This window comes from Homo sapiens, chromosome 4 (genome assembly GCF_000001405.40).
Source record: "Homo sapiens chromosome 4, GRCh38.p14 Primary Assembly".
In the NCBI taxonomy this organism is placed as follows: domain Eukaryota; kingdom Metazoa; phylum Chordata; class Mammalia; order Primates; family Hominidae; genus Homo; species Homo sapiens.
The window spans coordinates 86,856,892-86,871,751 of record NC_000004.12 but is presented as its reverse complement, the minus strand read 5'-3'; the positions used below and the strand labels follow the sequence as shown (position 1 = coordinate 86,871,751).

Sequence of the window (14,860 nt, the reverse complement as noted above, 5' to 3'; positions counted from 1 at the left end):
TTGTATTTTTAGTAGAGATGGGGTTTCATCATCTTGGCCAGGATGGTCTTGATCTCCTGACCTCGTGATCTGCCTGCTTCTGCCTCCCAAAATGCTGGGATTACAGGCGTGAGCCACCATGCCTGGCCCTAATTTTTGTATTTTTAGTAGAGATGGGGTTTCACCACGTTGGCCAGGCTTGTCTCGAACTCCTAACCTCAAGTGATCCACCTGCCTTGGCCTCCCAAAGTGCTGGGATTACAGGCATGAGCCACCACGCCTGGCCTGCGTGCTGTAATTTTTTTAAATGAAAAATAGTTTGGTATATAATTTTTAAAATCAGTTATTTACTTAGGTTCTTAAGAAATTCAGAACACCAATTTGTGAGGATAGATTTCTTTTTTTTTCTCTTTCCTTCTTTTCTTTCTTTCTTTTTTTTTTTTTTTTGGAGACAGTGTTTCACTCTGTTGCCCAGGCTGAAGTGCAGTGGCATGATCTTGGCTCACTGCAACTTCTGCCTCCTGGGTCAAGTGATCCTCCCACCTCAGCCTTCCCAGTAGCTGGGACCACAGCCATGCGTCACCACACCTGGCTAATTTTCTTTTTTGTGTTTTTAGTAGAGATGCTGTTTTGCCATGTTGCCCAGGCTGGCCTTGAACTCCTGAGCTCCAGCGATCTACCCACCTCAGCCTCCTGAAGTGCTGGGACTACAGGTGTGAGCTACTGCACCTGGCCTGTGAGAATAAATTCCATTCATCAGGGCAAACACAGATCACAGGTAGCCCTGGAGCTGAGGAATAGCTTTGATTTTTGGTAAAATTTGTGAGTCCACAGCTTTCTGATCGATTTGGTGCTGCTCTGTAATCTCGTAGTTCTCTTTTTCTGTGTTGAAGATCTCACCTTCCTGTTTCTGGGCTTCCACAGCTGCTGCTTCTTGAAGTAAGCGTCAGCAGGATGTTTTGGGATTTTTACATTGCTGATTATCAATTTTGGTTGAGGTGGCAGTGACAGATTTCTGGCGTGTTCTTTGTAGAGGATCTTGGTTGAAGACCGGAGGTCCAGTCACAAGTAACAAGCCACTAGCCAGCAGCTTCAGGAAAACCACCCTTTTGCCTCTGTGGTGCTCAGTGAGGGTGATCAGAATGGTCCCAGGGGTGATGCTGGCTCACAGTTTTCTCATGTGCTGACTGAACGGTTTTTTTGCCGTGGCTCAACAGCTTTTGAGGCACATCTTCAGTAGGATAATATCTAGGCATTTTGCGATGTTTAACCACCTGGGTACCACCGTTCTTGTCACCACCAACTGGTTTTGTAATAGTTGCAAGAACTTCTTTTTCTTTTCAACCTTGGATTCAGCAGCTGAGTGCTTCCTCTTGTACATGGCCTTTCTGGAATACATGGCTGATTGGGAATACCTGCCAATTCCTCTGACAAAGACAGGATTTCAGCTGCAATGGGGCTTCTCCCTCTTGGGCTTTTTAGTCTTGAGGCTGCCCCTTTTTACCTTGCCACCAGCATCAGCCTTCTTGGCTTCTGGTTTCTTCTCTTTAGGATCTGGCTTCTCAACCTTTTCACCCACCATCTTGCAAGATGGGAAAGAGAACTCAGCATAGAAATTTAATAGTGAATTATTGGAATTTATGGAATCTTTTTGTTTTCAGTTGACAAAGTGTATTAAAATTTTATCCGTGAAAACATTTTATCTAATAACAAAGAAAAAACAGAAGAAAGAAAAAAATTAACAAGAATTTATTATGTACTTGAAACTCTTCTAGGCATTCTATTTATATTCTTTAGTCCTTACCACAACTGCAAGGGAGAAAGGGGCAAGAAAGAGGAGAGCAGAGTTCTAACATCAGGAGGAGAAGAAAGTCTGGGGCTGGGGCTGGGCCAGACTCTTGATGAGGCAGGACCTACGCCATCAGTTGACAGAGCAGCAAGAATGGAGGGAAAAAGGCTCCCCTTTGCTCATTGTCTGTATCTCAGGATCTTGCTTTCCCTAGGACAGAGGTTTCTCTAACCTCTTTTCACCTTTTTATTTTATTTAGAAATACGGTCTTGCTTTGTTGCTCAGGCTGGAGTGCAGTGGCACCATCATAGCTCACTGCAGCTTCAAATTCGTGGCCTCAACTGATCCTCCTGCTTTGGCCTCCCAAAGTGCTGAGATTACAGGCATGAGCCACTGTACATAATATACTCTTTTCATTGTAGTTCTAAGAACAGTTATCTTCTTTCCCATTCCAGTAAATGGCACCATTTTTATTCCATTGCTTAGGCCAGAAACCCAGGGGGTCATCTGTGATTCCTCCAGGTCCTTCATCTCCTCTTTGGTCCAATCTATTGGCAAGTATCATGGGCTCTACCTCCTGAATATATTCCACATGTATCAATTTCTCTCTTACCTCTATCATCCTCACCCTAGTCTCCATCATCTCTTGTTTGGAATATGGAGAAGGCCTCTTAACTGACCTCCTTGCTTTCATTTTTGACTTTCCTATAGTCTGTCCTCAACAGCCAAAGTGATCTTTTAAAAATGGCAGTCATGTTATTGCCAAAAAGATCCTGTCACTTCCCTGAGTAATGCCCTTCCCCACGGCCTACCAGGCCCTGTGCTTTTTTTTTTTTTTAATTAATTAATTAATTATTATTATACTTTAAGTTTTAGGGTACATGTGCACAATGTGCAGGTTAGTCACATATGCATACATGTGCCATGCTGGTGCGCTGCACCCACCAGCTTGTCATCTAGCATTAGGTATATCTCCCAATGCTATCCCTCCCCCCTCCCCCCACCCCACAACAGTCCCCAGAGTGTGATGTTCCCCTTCCTGTGTCCATGTGTTCTCATTGTTCAATTCCCACCTATGAGTGAGAATATGCAGTGTTTGGTTTTTTGTTCTTGTGATAGTTTACTGAGAATGATGATTTCCAATTTCATCCATGTCCCTACAAAGGACATGAACTCATCATTTTTTATGGCTGCATAGTATTCCATGGTGCATATGTGCCACATTTTCTTAATCCAGTCTATCATTGTTGGACATTTGGGTTGGTTCCAAGTCTTTGCTATTGTGAATAATGCCACAATAAACATACGTGTGCATGTGTCTTTATAGCAGCATGATTTATAGTCCTTTGGGTATATACCCAGTAATGGGATGGCTGGGTCAAATGGTATTTCTAGTTCTAGATCCCTGAGGAATCACCACACCGACTTTCACAATGGTTGAACTAGTTTACAGTCCCACCAACAGTGTAAAAGTGTTCCTATTTCTCCACATCCTCTCCAGCACCTGTTGTTTCCTGACTTTTTAATGATTGCCATTCTAACTGGTGTGAGATGGTATCTCATTGTGGTTTTGATTTGCATTTCTCTGATGGCCAGTGATGATGCACATTTTTTCATGTGCCTGTTGGCTGCATAAATGTCTTCTTTTGAGAAGTGTCTGTTCATGTCCTTTGCCCACTTTTTGATGGGGTTGTTTTTTTCTTGTAAATTTGAGTTCATTGTAGATTCTGGATATTAGCCCTTTGTCAGATGAGTAGGTTGTGAAAATTTTCTCCCATTTTGTAGGTTGCCTGTTCAGTCTGAGGGTACTTTCTTTTGCTGTGCAGAAGCTCTTTAGTTTAATTAGATCCCATTTGTCAATTTTGGCTTTTGTTGCCATTGCTTTTGGTGTTATAGACATGAAGTCCTTGCCCATGCCTATGTCCTGAATGGTAATGCCTAGGTTTTCTTCTAGGGTTTTTATGGTTTTAGGTCTAACGTTTAAGTCTTTAATCCATCTTGAATTGATTTTTGTATAAGGTGTAAGCAAGGGATCCAGTTTCAGCTTTCTACATATGGCTAGCCAGTTTTCCCAGCACCATTTATTAAATAGGGAATCCTTTCCCCATTGCTTGTTTTTGTCAGGTTTGTCAAAGATCAGATAGTTGTAGATATGCGGCATTATTTCTGAGGGCTCTGTTCTGTTCCATTGATCTATATTTCTGTTTTGGTACCAGTACCATGCTGTTTTGGTTACTGTAGCCTTGTAGTATAGTTTGAAGTCAGGTAGCGTGATGCCTCCAGCTTTGTTCTTTTGGCTTAGTATTGACTTGGCGATGCGGGCTCTTTTTGGGTTCCATATGAACTTTAAAGTAGTTTTTTCCAATTCTGTGAAGAAAGTCATTTGTAGCTGGATGGGAATTGCATTGAATCTGTAAATTACCTTGAGCAGTATGGCCATTTTCACGATATTGATTCTTCCTACCCATGAGCATGGAATGTTCTTCCATTTGTTTGTTTCCTCTTCTATTTCGTTGAGTAGTGGTTTGTAGTTCTCCTTGAAGAGGTCCTTCACATCCCTTGTAAGTTGGATTCCTATGTATTTTATTCTCTTTGAAGCAATTGTGAATGGGAGTTCACTCATGATTTGGCTCTCTGTTTGTCTGTTGTTGGTGTATAAGAATGCTTATGATTTTTGTACATTGATTTTGTATCCTGAGACTTTGCTGAAGTTGCTTATCAGCTTAAGGAGATTTTGGGCTGAGACAATGGGGTTTTCTAGATATACAATCATGTCGTCTGCAAACAGGGACAATTTGACTTCCTCTTTTCCTAACTGAATACCCTTTATTTCCTTCTCCTGCCTAATTGCCCTGGCCAGAACTTCCAACACTATGTTGAATAGGAGTGGTGAGAGAGGGCGTCCCTGTCTTGTGCCAGTTTTCAAAGGGAATGCTTCCAGTTTTGCCCATTCAGTATGATATTGGCTGTGGATTTGTCATAGATAGCTCTTATTATTTTGAGATATGTCCCATCAATACCTAATTTATTGAGAGTTTTTAGCATGAAGGGTTGTTGAATTTTGTCGAAGGCCTTTTCTGCATCTATTGGGATAATCATGTGGTTTTTGTGTTTGGGTCTGTTTATATGCTGGATTACATTTATTGATTTGCTTATATTGAACCAGCCTTGCATCCCAGGGATGAAGCCCACTTGATCATGGTGGATAAGCTTTTTGATGTGCTGCTGGATTCAGTTTGCCAGTATTTTATTGAGGATTTTTGCATTAATGTTCATCAAAGATATTTGTCTAAAATTCTCTTTTTTGGTTGTGTCTCTGCCCGGCTTTGGTATCAGGATGATGCTGGCCTCATAAAATGAGTTAGGGAGGATTCCCTCTTTTTCTGTTGATTGGAATAGTTTCAGAAGGAATGGTACCAGTTCCTCCTTGTACCTCTTGTAGAATTCGGCTGTGAATCCATCTGGTCCTGGACTCCTTTTGGTTGGTAAGCTATTGATGATTGCCACAATTTCAGATCCTGTTATTGGTCTATTCAGAGATTCAACTTCTTCCTGGTTTAGTCTTGGGAGAGTGTATGTGTCGAGGAATTTATCCATTTCTTCTAGATTTTCTAGTTTATTTGCATAGAGGTATTTGTAGTATTCTCTGATGGTAGTTTGTATTTCTGTGGGATCGGTGGTGATATCCCCTTTATCATTTTTTAGTGCGTCTATTTGATTCTTCTCTCTTTTTTTCTTTATTAGTCTTGCTAGCGGTCTATCAATTTTGTTGATCCTTTCAAAAAACCAGCTCCTGGATTCATTAATTTTTTGAAGGGTTTTTTGTCTCTATTTCCTTCAGTTCTGCTCTGATCTTAGTTATTTCTTGCCTTCTGCTAGCTTTTGAATGTGTTTGCTCTTGCTTTTCTAGTTCTTTTAATTGTGATGTTAGGGTGTCAATTTTGGATCTTTCCTGCTTTCTCTTGTGGGCATTTAGTGCTATAAATTTCCCTCTACACACTGCTTTGAATGCGTCCCAGAGATTCTGGTATGTTGTGTCTTTGTTCTCGTTGGTTTCAAAGAACATCTTTATTTCTGCCTTCATTTCATTATGTACCCAGTATTCATTCAGGAGCAGGTTGTTCAGTTTCCATGTAGTTGAGCGGTTTTGAGTGAGATTCTTAATCCTGAGTTCTAGTTTGATTGCACTGTGGTCTGAGAGATAGTTTGTTATAATTTCTGTTCTTTTACATTTGCTGAGGAGTGCTTTACTTCCAAGTATGTGGTCAATTTTGGAATAGGTGTGGTGTGGTGCTGAAAAAAATGTATATTCTGTTGATTTGGGGTGGAGAGTTCTGTAGATGTCTATTAGGTCCGCTTGGTGCAGAGCTGAGTTCAATTCCTGGGTATGCTTGTTGACTTTCTGTCTCGTTGATCTGTCTAAAGTTGACAGTGGGGTGTTAAAGTCTCCCATTATTAATGTGTGGGAGTCTAAGTCTCTTTGTAGGTCACTCAGGACTTGCTTTATGAATCTGGGTGCTCCTGTATTGGGTGCATATATATTTAGGATAGTTAGCTCTTCTTGTTGAATTGATCCCTTTACCATTATGTAATGGCCTTCTTTGTCTCTTTTGATCTTTGTTGGTTTAAAGTCTGTTTTATCAGAGACTAGGATTGCAACCCCTGCCTTTTTTTGTTTTCCATTTGCTTGGTAGATCTTCCTCCATCCTTTTATTTTAAGCCTATGTGTGTCTCTGCACGTGAGTTGGGTTTCCTGAATACAGCACACTGATGGGTCTTGACTCTTTATCCAATTTGCCAGTCTGTGTCTTTTAATTGGAGCATTTAGTCCATTTACATTTAAAGTTAATATTGTGATGTGTGAATTTGATCCTGTCATTACGATGTTAGCTGGTTATTTTGCTCGTTAGTTGATGCAGTTTCTTCCTAGTCTCGATGGTCTTTACATTTTGGCATGATTTTGCAGCAGCTGGTACCGGTTGTTCCTTTCCATGTTTAGTGCTTCCTTCAGGAGCTCTTTTAGGGCAGGCCTGGTGGTGACAAAATCTCTCAGCATTTGCTTGTCTGTAAAGTATTTTATTTCTCCTTCACTTATGAAGCTAAGTTTGGCTGGATATGAAATTCTGGGTTGAAAATTCTTTTCTTTAAGAATGTTGAATATTGGCCCCCACTCTCTTCTGGCTTGTAGAATTTCTGCCAAGAGATCTGCTGTTAGTCTGATGGGCTTCCCTTTGAGGGTAACCCGACCTTTCTCTCTGGCTGCCCTTAACATTTTTTCCTTCATTTCAACTTTGGTGAATCTGACAATTATGTGTCTTGGAGTTGCTCTTCTCGAGGAGTATCTTTGTGGTGTTCTCTGTATTTCCTGAATCTGAATGTTGGCCTGCCTTGCTAGATTGGGGAAGTTCTCCTGGATAATATCCTGCAGAGTGTTTTCCAACTTGGTTCCATTCTCCCTGTCACTTTCAGGTACACCAATCAGATGTAGATTTGGTCTTTTCACATAGTCCCATATTTCTTGGAGGCTTTGTTCGTTTCTTTTTATTCTTTTTTCTCTAAACTTCCCTTCTCACTTCATTTCATTCATTTCATCTTCCATCGCTGATACCCTTTCTTCCAGTTGATCGCATCGGCTCCTGAGGCTTCTGCATTCTTCACGTAGTTCTCGAGCCTTGGCTTTCAGCTCCATCAGCTCCTTTAAGCACTTCTCTGTATTGGTTATTCTAGTTATACATTTTTCTAAATTTTTTTCAAAGTTTTCGACTGCTTTGTCTTTGGTTTGAATGTCCTCCTGTAGCTCGGAGTAATTTGATCATCTGAAGCCTTCTTCTCTCAATTCGTCAAAGTCATTCTCCGTCCAGCTTTGTTCCATTGCTGGTGAGGAACTGCGTTCCTTTGGAGGAGGAGAGTCGCTCTGCTTTTTAGAGTTTCCAGTTTTTCTGCTCTGTTTTTTCCCCATCTTTGTGGTTTTGTCTACTTTTGGTCTTTGATGATGGTGATGTACAGATGGGTTTTTGGTGTGGATGTCCTTTCTGTTTGTTAGTTTTCCATCTAACAGACAGGACCCTCAGCTGCAGTTCTGTTGGAGTACCCGGCCGTGTGAGGTGTCAGTCTGCCCCTGCTGGGGGGTGACCAGGCCCTGTGCTTTCTCCCACTCGCCTTGCTCTCTGACCTCATTCCTCCCACTCATGATCCAGCCCCACTGGGCTCTAGATCATGGCCTACTTGCTGTTTCCGACACATCAGACTTGTTCCCACCTTAGAGCCTTTGCTCTTGTTTATTTTCCCCAAGGTTCTCAGCCCTCACATTTTTGCAGAGTTGCCTCCTGATTATTGAGGACTTGGATCAAATAACATCTGCTGTGGGAGGCCTCCTGGGACCTCCCCACCACCCCCCAGAGAAACTGGCCTTTCCTTTTACTCAGTCACTTGCAGTGACAGCACCTTGTTTTAGTTCCTTTACAGCACTAACATCACTCTCTGCAGTTATTTATTTGCTTGCTTTTTTATTTGCCTGTGTTTCTCTGTGTTGTCTCTAGTGTCTACAATAATACCTACTCAGAGTAGCCACTCTTATCAGTATTTGTTGGATAAATGAATGTATTACTTTAAAAATTGTCAAAGCCAGGAGTGGTGGCACGGCCAGTAGTGCCAGCTACTCAGGAGGCTGAGGTGGAAGGATCACTCGAGCTCAGATGTCCGAGGCTGCAGTGAGCTATGATCACGCCTCTTCACTCCAGCTGGGGCAACAGAGTGAGACCCTGTCTCTAATAACTTTTTAAAAAAGATTGTTGAAAAGGTGCCACTTTTTTTTTTTTTTTCCCTTTGAGACAGGGTCTCACTCCAATGCCCAGGCTGGAGTGTAGTGGTACGATCATGGCTCACTGTAGCCTGGACTTCCTGTACTCAGATGACTCTCCCACCTCAGCCTTCTGAGTAACTGGGACTACAGCCATGCACCACCATGCCTGGCTAATTTTTTTTTTTTATTATTATACTTTAAGTTTTAGGGAACATGTGCACAACGTGCAGGTTTGTTACATATGTATACATGTGCCATGTTGGTGTGCTGCACCCATTAACTCGTCATTTAACATTAGGTATATCTCCTAATGCTATCCCTCCCCCCTCCCCCGACCCCACAACAGTCCCTGGTGTGTGAGGTTCCCCTTCCTGTGTCCATGTGTTCTCATTGTTCAATTCCCACCTATGAGTGAGAACATGCAGTTTTTGGTTTTTTGTCCTTGCGATAGTTTGCTGAGAATGATGGTTTCCAGCTTCATCCATGTCCCTACAAAGGACATGAACTCATCATTTTTTATGGCTGCATAGTATTCCATGGTGTATATGTGCCACATTTTCTTAGTCCAGTCTATCATTGTTGGACATTTGGGTTGGTTCCAAGTCTTTGCTATTGTGAATAGTGCCACAATAAACATACATGTGCATGTGTCTTTATAGCAGCATGATTTATAATCCTTTGGGTATATACTGAGTAATGGGATGGCTGGGTCAAATGGTATTTCTAGTTCTAGATCCCTGAGGAATCGCCACACCAATTTCCACAATGGTTGAACTAGTTTACAGTCCCACCAACAGTGTAAAAGTGTTCCTATTTCTCCACATCCTCTCCAGCACCTGTTGTTTCCTGACTTTTTAATGATTGCCATTCTAACTGGTGTGAGATGGTATCTCATTGTGGTTTTGATTTGCATTTCTCTGATGGCCAGTGATGATGAGCATTTTTTCATGTGTTTTTTGGCTGCATAAATGTCTTCTTTTGAGAAGTGTCTGTTCATATCCTTTGCCCACTTTTTGATGGGGTTATTTGTATTTTTCTTGTAAATTTGTTTGAGTTCATTGTAGATTCTGGATATTAGCCCTTTGTCAGATGAGTAGGTTGCAAAAATTTTCTCCCATTCTCTAGGTTGCCTGTTCACTGTGATGATGGTTTCTCTTGCTGTGCAGAAGCTCTTGAGTTTAATTAGATCCCATTTGTCAATTTTGGCTTTTGTTGCCATTGCTTTTGGTGTTTTAGACATGAAGTCCTTGCCCATGCCTATGTCCTGAATGGTGTTGCTTAGGTTTTCTTCTAGGGTTTTTATGGTTTTAGGTCTAACATGTAAGTCTTTAATCCGTCTTGAATTAATTTTTGTATAAGGTGTAAGGAAGGGATCCAGTTTCAGCTTTCTACACATGGCTAGCCAGTTTTCCCAGCACCACTTATTAAATAGGGAATCCTTTCCCCATTGTTTGTTTTTGTCAGGTTTGTCAAAGATCAGATAGTTGTAGATGTGCGGCTTTATTTCTGAGGGCTCTGTTCTGTTCCATTGGTCTATATCTCTGTTTTGGTAATGCCCGGCTACTTTTTTGTATCTTTAGTAGAAATTGCGTTTCGCCATGTTGCCCAGGATGGTCTTGAACTCCTGACTCAAGAGATTCACCCAAAGTGCTGGGATTACAGGTGTGAGTCACCACAAATGACCAAAAAGGTGCCACTTTTGAAGAGTGCTCAAGGGGTTTGAGTCTGCTGTTCAATCTTATATATTCTTTGACCCACATATTTTTTCAGCTTTATTGAGGTGTAATTGGCTGTGACATAAACTGCACCTGCTTAAGGTATACAATTTGATGAGTTTTGACATGTGTCTGCACCTGTGGGACACACTCACAGTGAAGGTAATGAACATGCCATTGGCCCAAGAGTTTCCTTGTACCCCTTGTAATCCATCCCTTCTCACTGTTCTCCCACCGCCAGCCTCTAGGCAACCACTGATCTGCTTTCTGGCACTATAAATTGGTTTGCATTTTGAGAATTTTATATAAATAGAATCATTCAGTATATACTATATTTTGGTTTCTTGTATTCAGCATAATTATTTTAAGATTCATCCATGTTATTGCATGTGTGTTCCTTTTTATTGCTGAGTAGGATTCTATTGTCAGGATATATCACACTTCGTTTATCCAGGAACCTATTGGTAAACATTTGGGTTGCTTCTAGTTCTCAGTGCTTACAAATAAAACTGCTGTGAGTGTTATCTGGGCATATGCTCTCATTTCTTTGGAGTAAATACCTCCAGGAGAGAAATGGCTGGCTTATAGGTGCATGTTTAATTGGTTACATTTTCAAATCTCTGTTCTAGTTCTGAGGGAACTGGGGGGCTAGGTGAAGGATCTGTAACTTACCCAAGGTGACACAGCTTTTTTTTCTTCTTTTTGAGACCAAGGTCTCACTCTATCGATGGAGTGCAATGTCCCAATCGCGGCTCACTGAAGCCTCGACTCCTGGTCTCAAGCAATCCTCCCACCCCAGCCTAAGGAGTAGCTGGGACTGCAGGCACCCACAACTGCCTTAGCTAATTTTGGCATTTTTTGCCAAAATAAGGGTTTCACCTTATTGCCTAGGCTGGTCTCGAACTCCTGGGCTCAAGTGATCCACCCACCTCGGCCTTCCAAAGTGTTGGGATTACAGACATGAGCCCCTGTGCCCTGCCTCAAGGCGATGCAACTTTTAAGGGAGTGATGAGACGCAAGTCTAGATTTCTGTCACTTCAAAGTTCATTATTTTCCAGAAGCCTGTGCTGTTGAGTTACTTATTTGGTCCACTTTTGACCTGGGGCCTGCATGGCCTGCCGATATCTGCTGATACCCTGCTGACACTCTGCTCTCATTAAGGCCTCTAGGACCTGCTGATGCCTGAATGTGTGGCTTTTTTTTTTTTTTCATAACACACTATGATTCTGTAGCCTGCATGTCTTGCTTACTGGGACTAGTAGGTGTTGCTTACTTAGTACTTATGTAGCCAGGGTTTGCTGAGGCTGCTTTCAGCCAGTATTGTGCTAAGTAAGGCCCTTGCTGACCCATGTATTTGATAAAGAACTTAACTTTACTTAAGGTGGGTGAGGCCTATGTACAATTTGCTTCAGGCCCAGTTAATATGGGCTTTTGTCTCTAAAAACAGCACTCAAGATGACCTGAGCCCAGGAATTGAGGTGATACTGAGCTATGATCACACCACTGCACTTCAGCCTGTGTGACAGTAAGACACTGTCTCGAAACAAAACACCCCCCCACCCCACAAAAACCCAAAAAACCCCCAGCAATTGAAGAGCTTTCATAGCTTCAGTGACCAATCAGAGTGAAAATCTCTTATCTCATGTGATTAGTTTCTTGGGCTTAAACTGCTTGCTCAGGTCATAATAGTTAAAAATCCAACTGCACAATTGTAAAGTTGAGTCTTATTACCCAGAAATAATCTCTGGAGATTTTCAAGGTTAAAATGCCCAACCTGCCTCTTGAATCCAAGGCCCAAAGCCATATACCCTGGCCCCACCAGAATCCTTGTTATTTTGGTCTCCACATTCCACCCTAATTCTCAACAATTCTGGTCAATTATACTGGATGCTAGAGTTTTGACGGGCACCAAAACTGTGATACCCTTGTTCTTTGTCTAGGATCTGGACCAAATATGCAATAATACCAAAGAATAAACAGGTAGGAAATCCAAACATCAGCTTTATGATTGCAAAAGCTCACATTGAAGACATGGCTTGTATAGGGGCAAGTGGGCCCCATACTAAAATTTGGAATAAGATAAATTTCCCTATCCAATCTCTGGCAGTTCTGGGCCACAGCAGGCCTTCTGGGCAGCAGGGCCATTTTCAGCAAGTGTCCTAAAACCTGTAAACAAAAATAGTGATTTTTTTTTTTTTTTTTTTTAGATGGAGTCTCGCTCTTATTGCCCCGGCTGGAGTCCAGTGGTGCAGTCTTGGCTCACTGCAACCTCCACCTCCCAGATTCAGGCGATTCTCCTGCCTCAGCCTCCTGAGTACTTGGGAATACAGGCACCCGCCACCACGCCCGGCACTTTTTGTGTTTTTAGTAGAGACATGGTTTCACCATGTTGGTCAGGCTGATCTTGAACTCCTGGCCTCAAGCAATCCACCCCCCTTGGCCTCCCAAAGTGCTAGGATTACAGTCATGAGCCACCATGCCCAGCCTTTTTTATTTTTAAATTTTATTTATTTATTAATTTTTTTATTTCAGTAGCTTTAGGGGTACAGGTGGTTTTTGGTTACATGGATGAATTTTATAGTGGTGAAGTCTGGGTTTTTAGTGCACCCATCACCCGAATAGTGTAGATTGTACCCAATAGGTAGTTTTCAATCCCTTATTACCCCCCACCCTGCTCTGATTCTCTAATGTTCATTATACCACTCTGCATGCCGCTGTACATCCATAGCTTAGCTCCCACTTATAAGTGAGAACATTCGGTATTTGGTTTTCTGTTCCTGAGTTACTTCATTTCCGTCGATAATGGCCTCCAGTTTCATCCAAGTTGCTGCAAAAGATTTTTTTTTTGGCTGTATACTATTCTGTGGCATATATCATACCACATTTTCTTTATCCGCTCATCAGTTGATGGTCACAGGTTGATTCCATATCTTTGCAGTTGTGAATTGTACTGTCATAAACATATGTGTGCAGTTGTCTTTTTAATATAATGACTTCTTTTCCTTTGGGTAGTTGCCCAGTAGTGAGATTCCTGGATTAATGGTAGATGTATTTTTAATTCTTTGAGAAATCTCCCTACTGTTAGCCATAGAGGTTGTACTAATTTACTTTCCCACCAGCAGTGTTTAAGCAAAGAATCTAGGGATCTTAGTCTTCTGTATTTGTAACAAAGGGCATAATATTAGTCTGAATTAATCCTAGAGAAGGAACAAGCTGTATAAGCCATTCTACTGGGGGCCTCAGGCTCTATTTTGGGATTTTCTCCTAATAGGCTCCTACTGTTCTTCTTAGTGTCAGTCCCTCTCCTTTGCTTTTTTTTTTTTTTTTTTTTTTTGGAGACAGGGTCTCTCTTTCGCCCAGGCTGGAGTGCAATGGCACGATCTTGGCTCACTGCAACCTCCGTCTGGAAGGTGCAAGCGATTCTTGTGCCTCAGCCGTCTGAGTAGCTGGAACTACAGACATTTGCCACCATGCCCAGCTAATTTTTGTATTTTTGTAGAGAAGGGGTTTCACCATGTTGCCCAGTTTGGTCTCTAACTCCTGAGCTCAAGCCATCCACCCCCCTCAGCCTCCTGAAGTGCTGAGATTAGAAGCGTGAGCCACCGGGCGTTTGCTTCTAATCATCCACCTCCATGCTAAAGGATTGCTTTTCACTTTGAAACTTTCACAACATTCAAATGTAGATGTCGCCTTTGTAGACTTCAGTTGCAGGTGCCCTTTTTTCCCGCATCACGTTAACTCTATAAAATTAACTCCTTCCAAGTGCCAGAGGAAAATTCCCTCTCTCTTACTGTTTCAGAGATTGCTCACCATATATCTATTTCCTGTTGGAATTTAAATTTACTCTCCCACTCTCACCAACTATGTAGAACAGGTAAGACAAGCATACTGTGAACCCAACAAATGACCAAACATATACTAGCCTGGTTCACCTGCACTGCCACCTCCTTTCCCAGGTACTCTGTTGCATCAAAACTCAGGTGTACCCAGGGGAGTGTCAGAATTCTAGCACTGCAGTTTGTGGAATTACTTTACACAAGTAGTAGAAATAGCTGACATAACTTCCTTCAAACTAAGAGGAGAGTTATTTCCTAATGGTGGCCTTCATTTATCATGAGATCACATAAGTATATATATTTTTTGTTTTCTCATGACCCTTTTAGTATTTGAAAGAAATTTCTAAGTTTTACTAACAAAAGGCTTTGGAAAACAAATCAGAAAATTGGAAGCAGGAGAAAAGGAGTAGCCTTTTTTTTTTTTTTTTTTGATCCTGACATTGTTATTTTTCTGGGTTAGATGAAACAGATGTTATTAATAACAACGATCACCACAATAGCTAATATTTACTGAGCATTTATAATGCCCCAGGCATAGTAGCTAGAAATGGTCAGATGAGAAGGCTGGAAGTTTATACCAGATGCCTGGGATTGATCTCTAGTTTTCCTAAGAAATGCTTTAGCTCAACAGCACTCTTTGTTCAGATTAGTTTTGTCTAGAGTGTTAGGTGCATATCCTCCTGGCCTAGCAATTTAGGATGAAGAAAAATACTTCTGTTCTTTTGTAGTTATGGCCTTA

The 14,860-nt window shown here is 41.6% G+C and overlaps 1 pseudogene, besides 1 other annotated feature; it reads right to left on the bottom strand.

Annotated features, from left to right (window-relative positions):
- RPL6P13 (ribosomal protein L6 pseudogene 13) lies at positions 319-1,587 on the bottom strand (annotated as a pseudogene).
- Positions 13,739-14,239: an enhancer, noted in NCBI's record as "OCT4-NANOG-H3K4me1 hESC enhancer chr4:87778666-87779166 (GRCh37/hg19 assembly coordinates)". NCBI's record gives its function as "activates a minimal SCP1, AML or CMV promoter by ChIP-STARR-seq in naive H9 embryonic stem cells {active_cell/tissue: H9 hESC(naive)}" and the evidence as "EXISTENCE:reporter gene assay evidence [ECO:0000049][PMID:30033119]".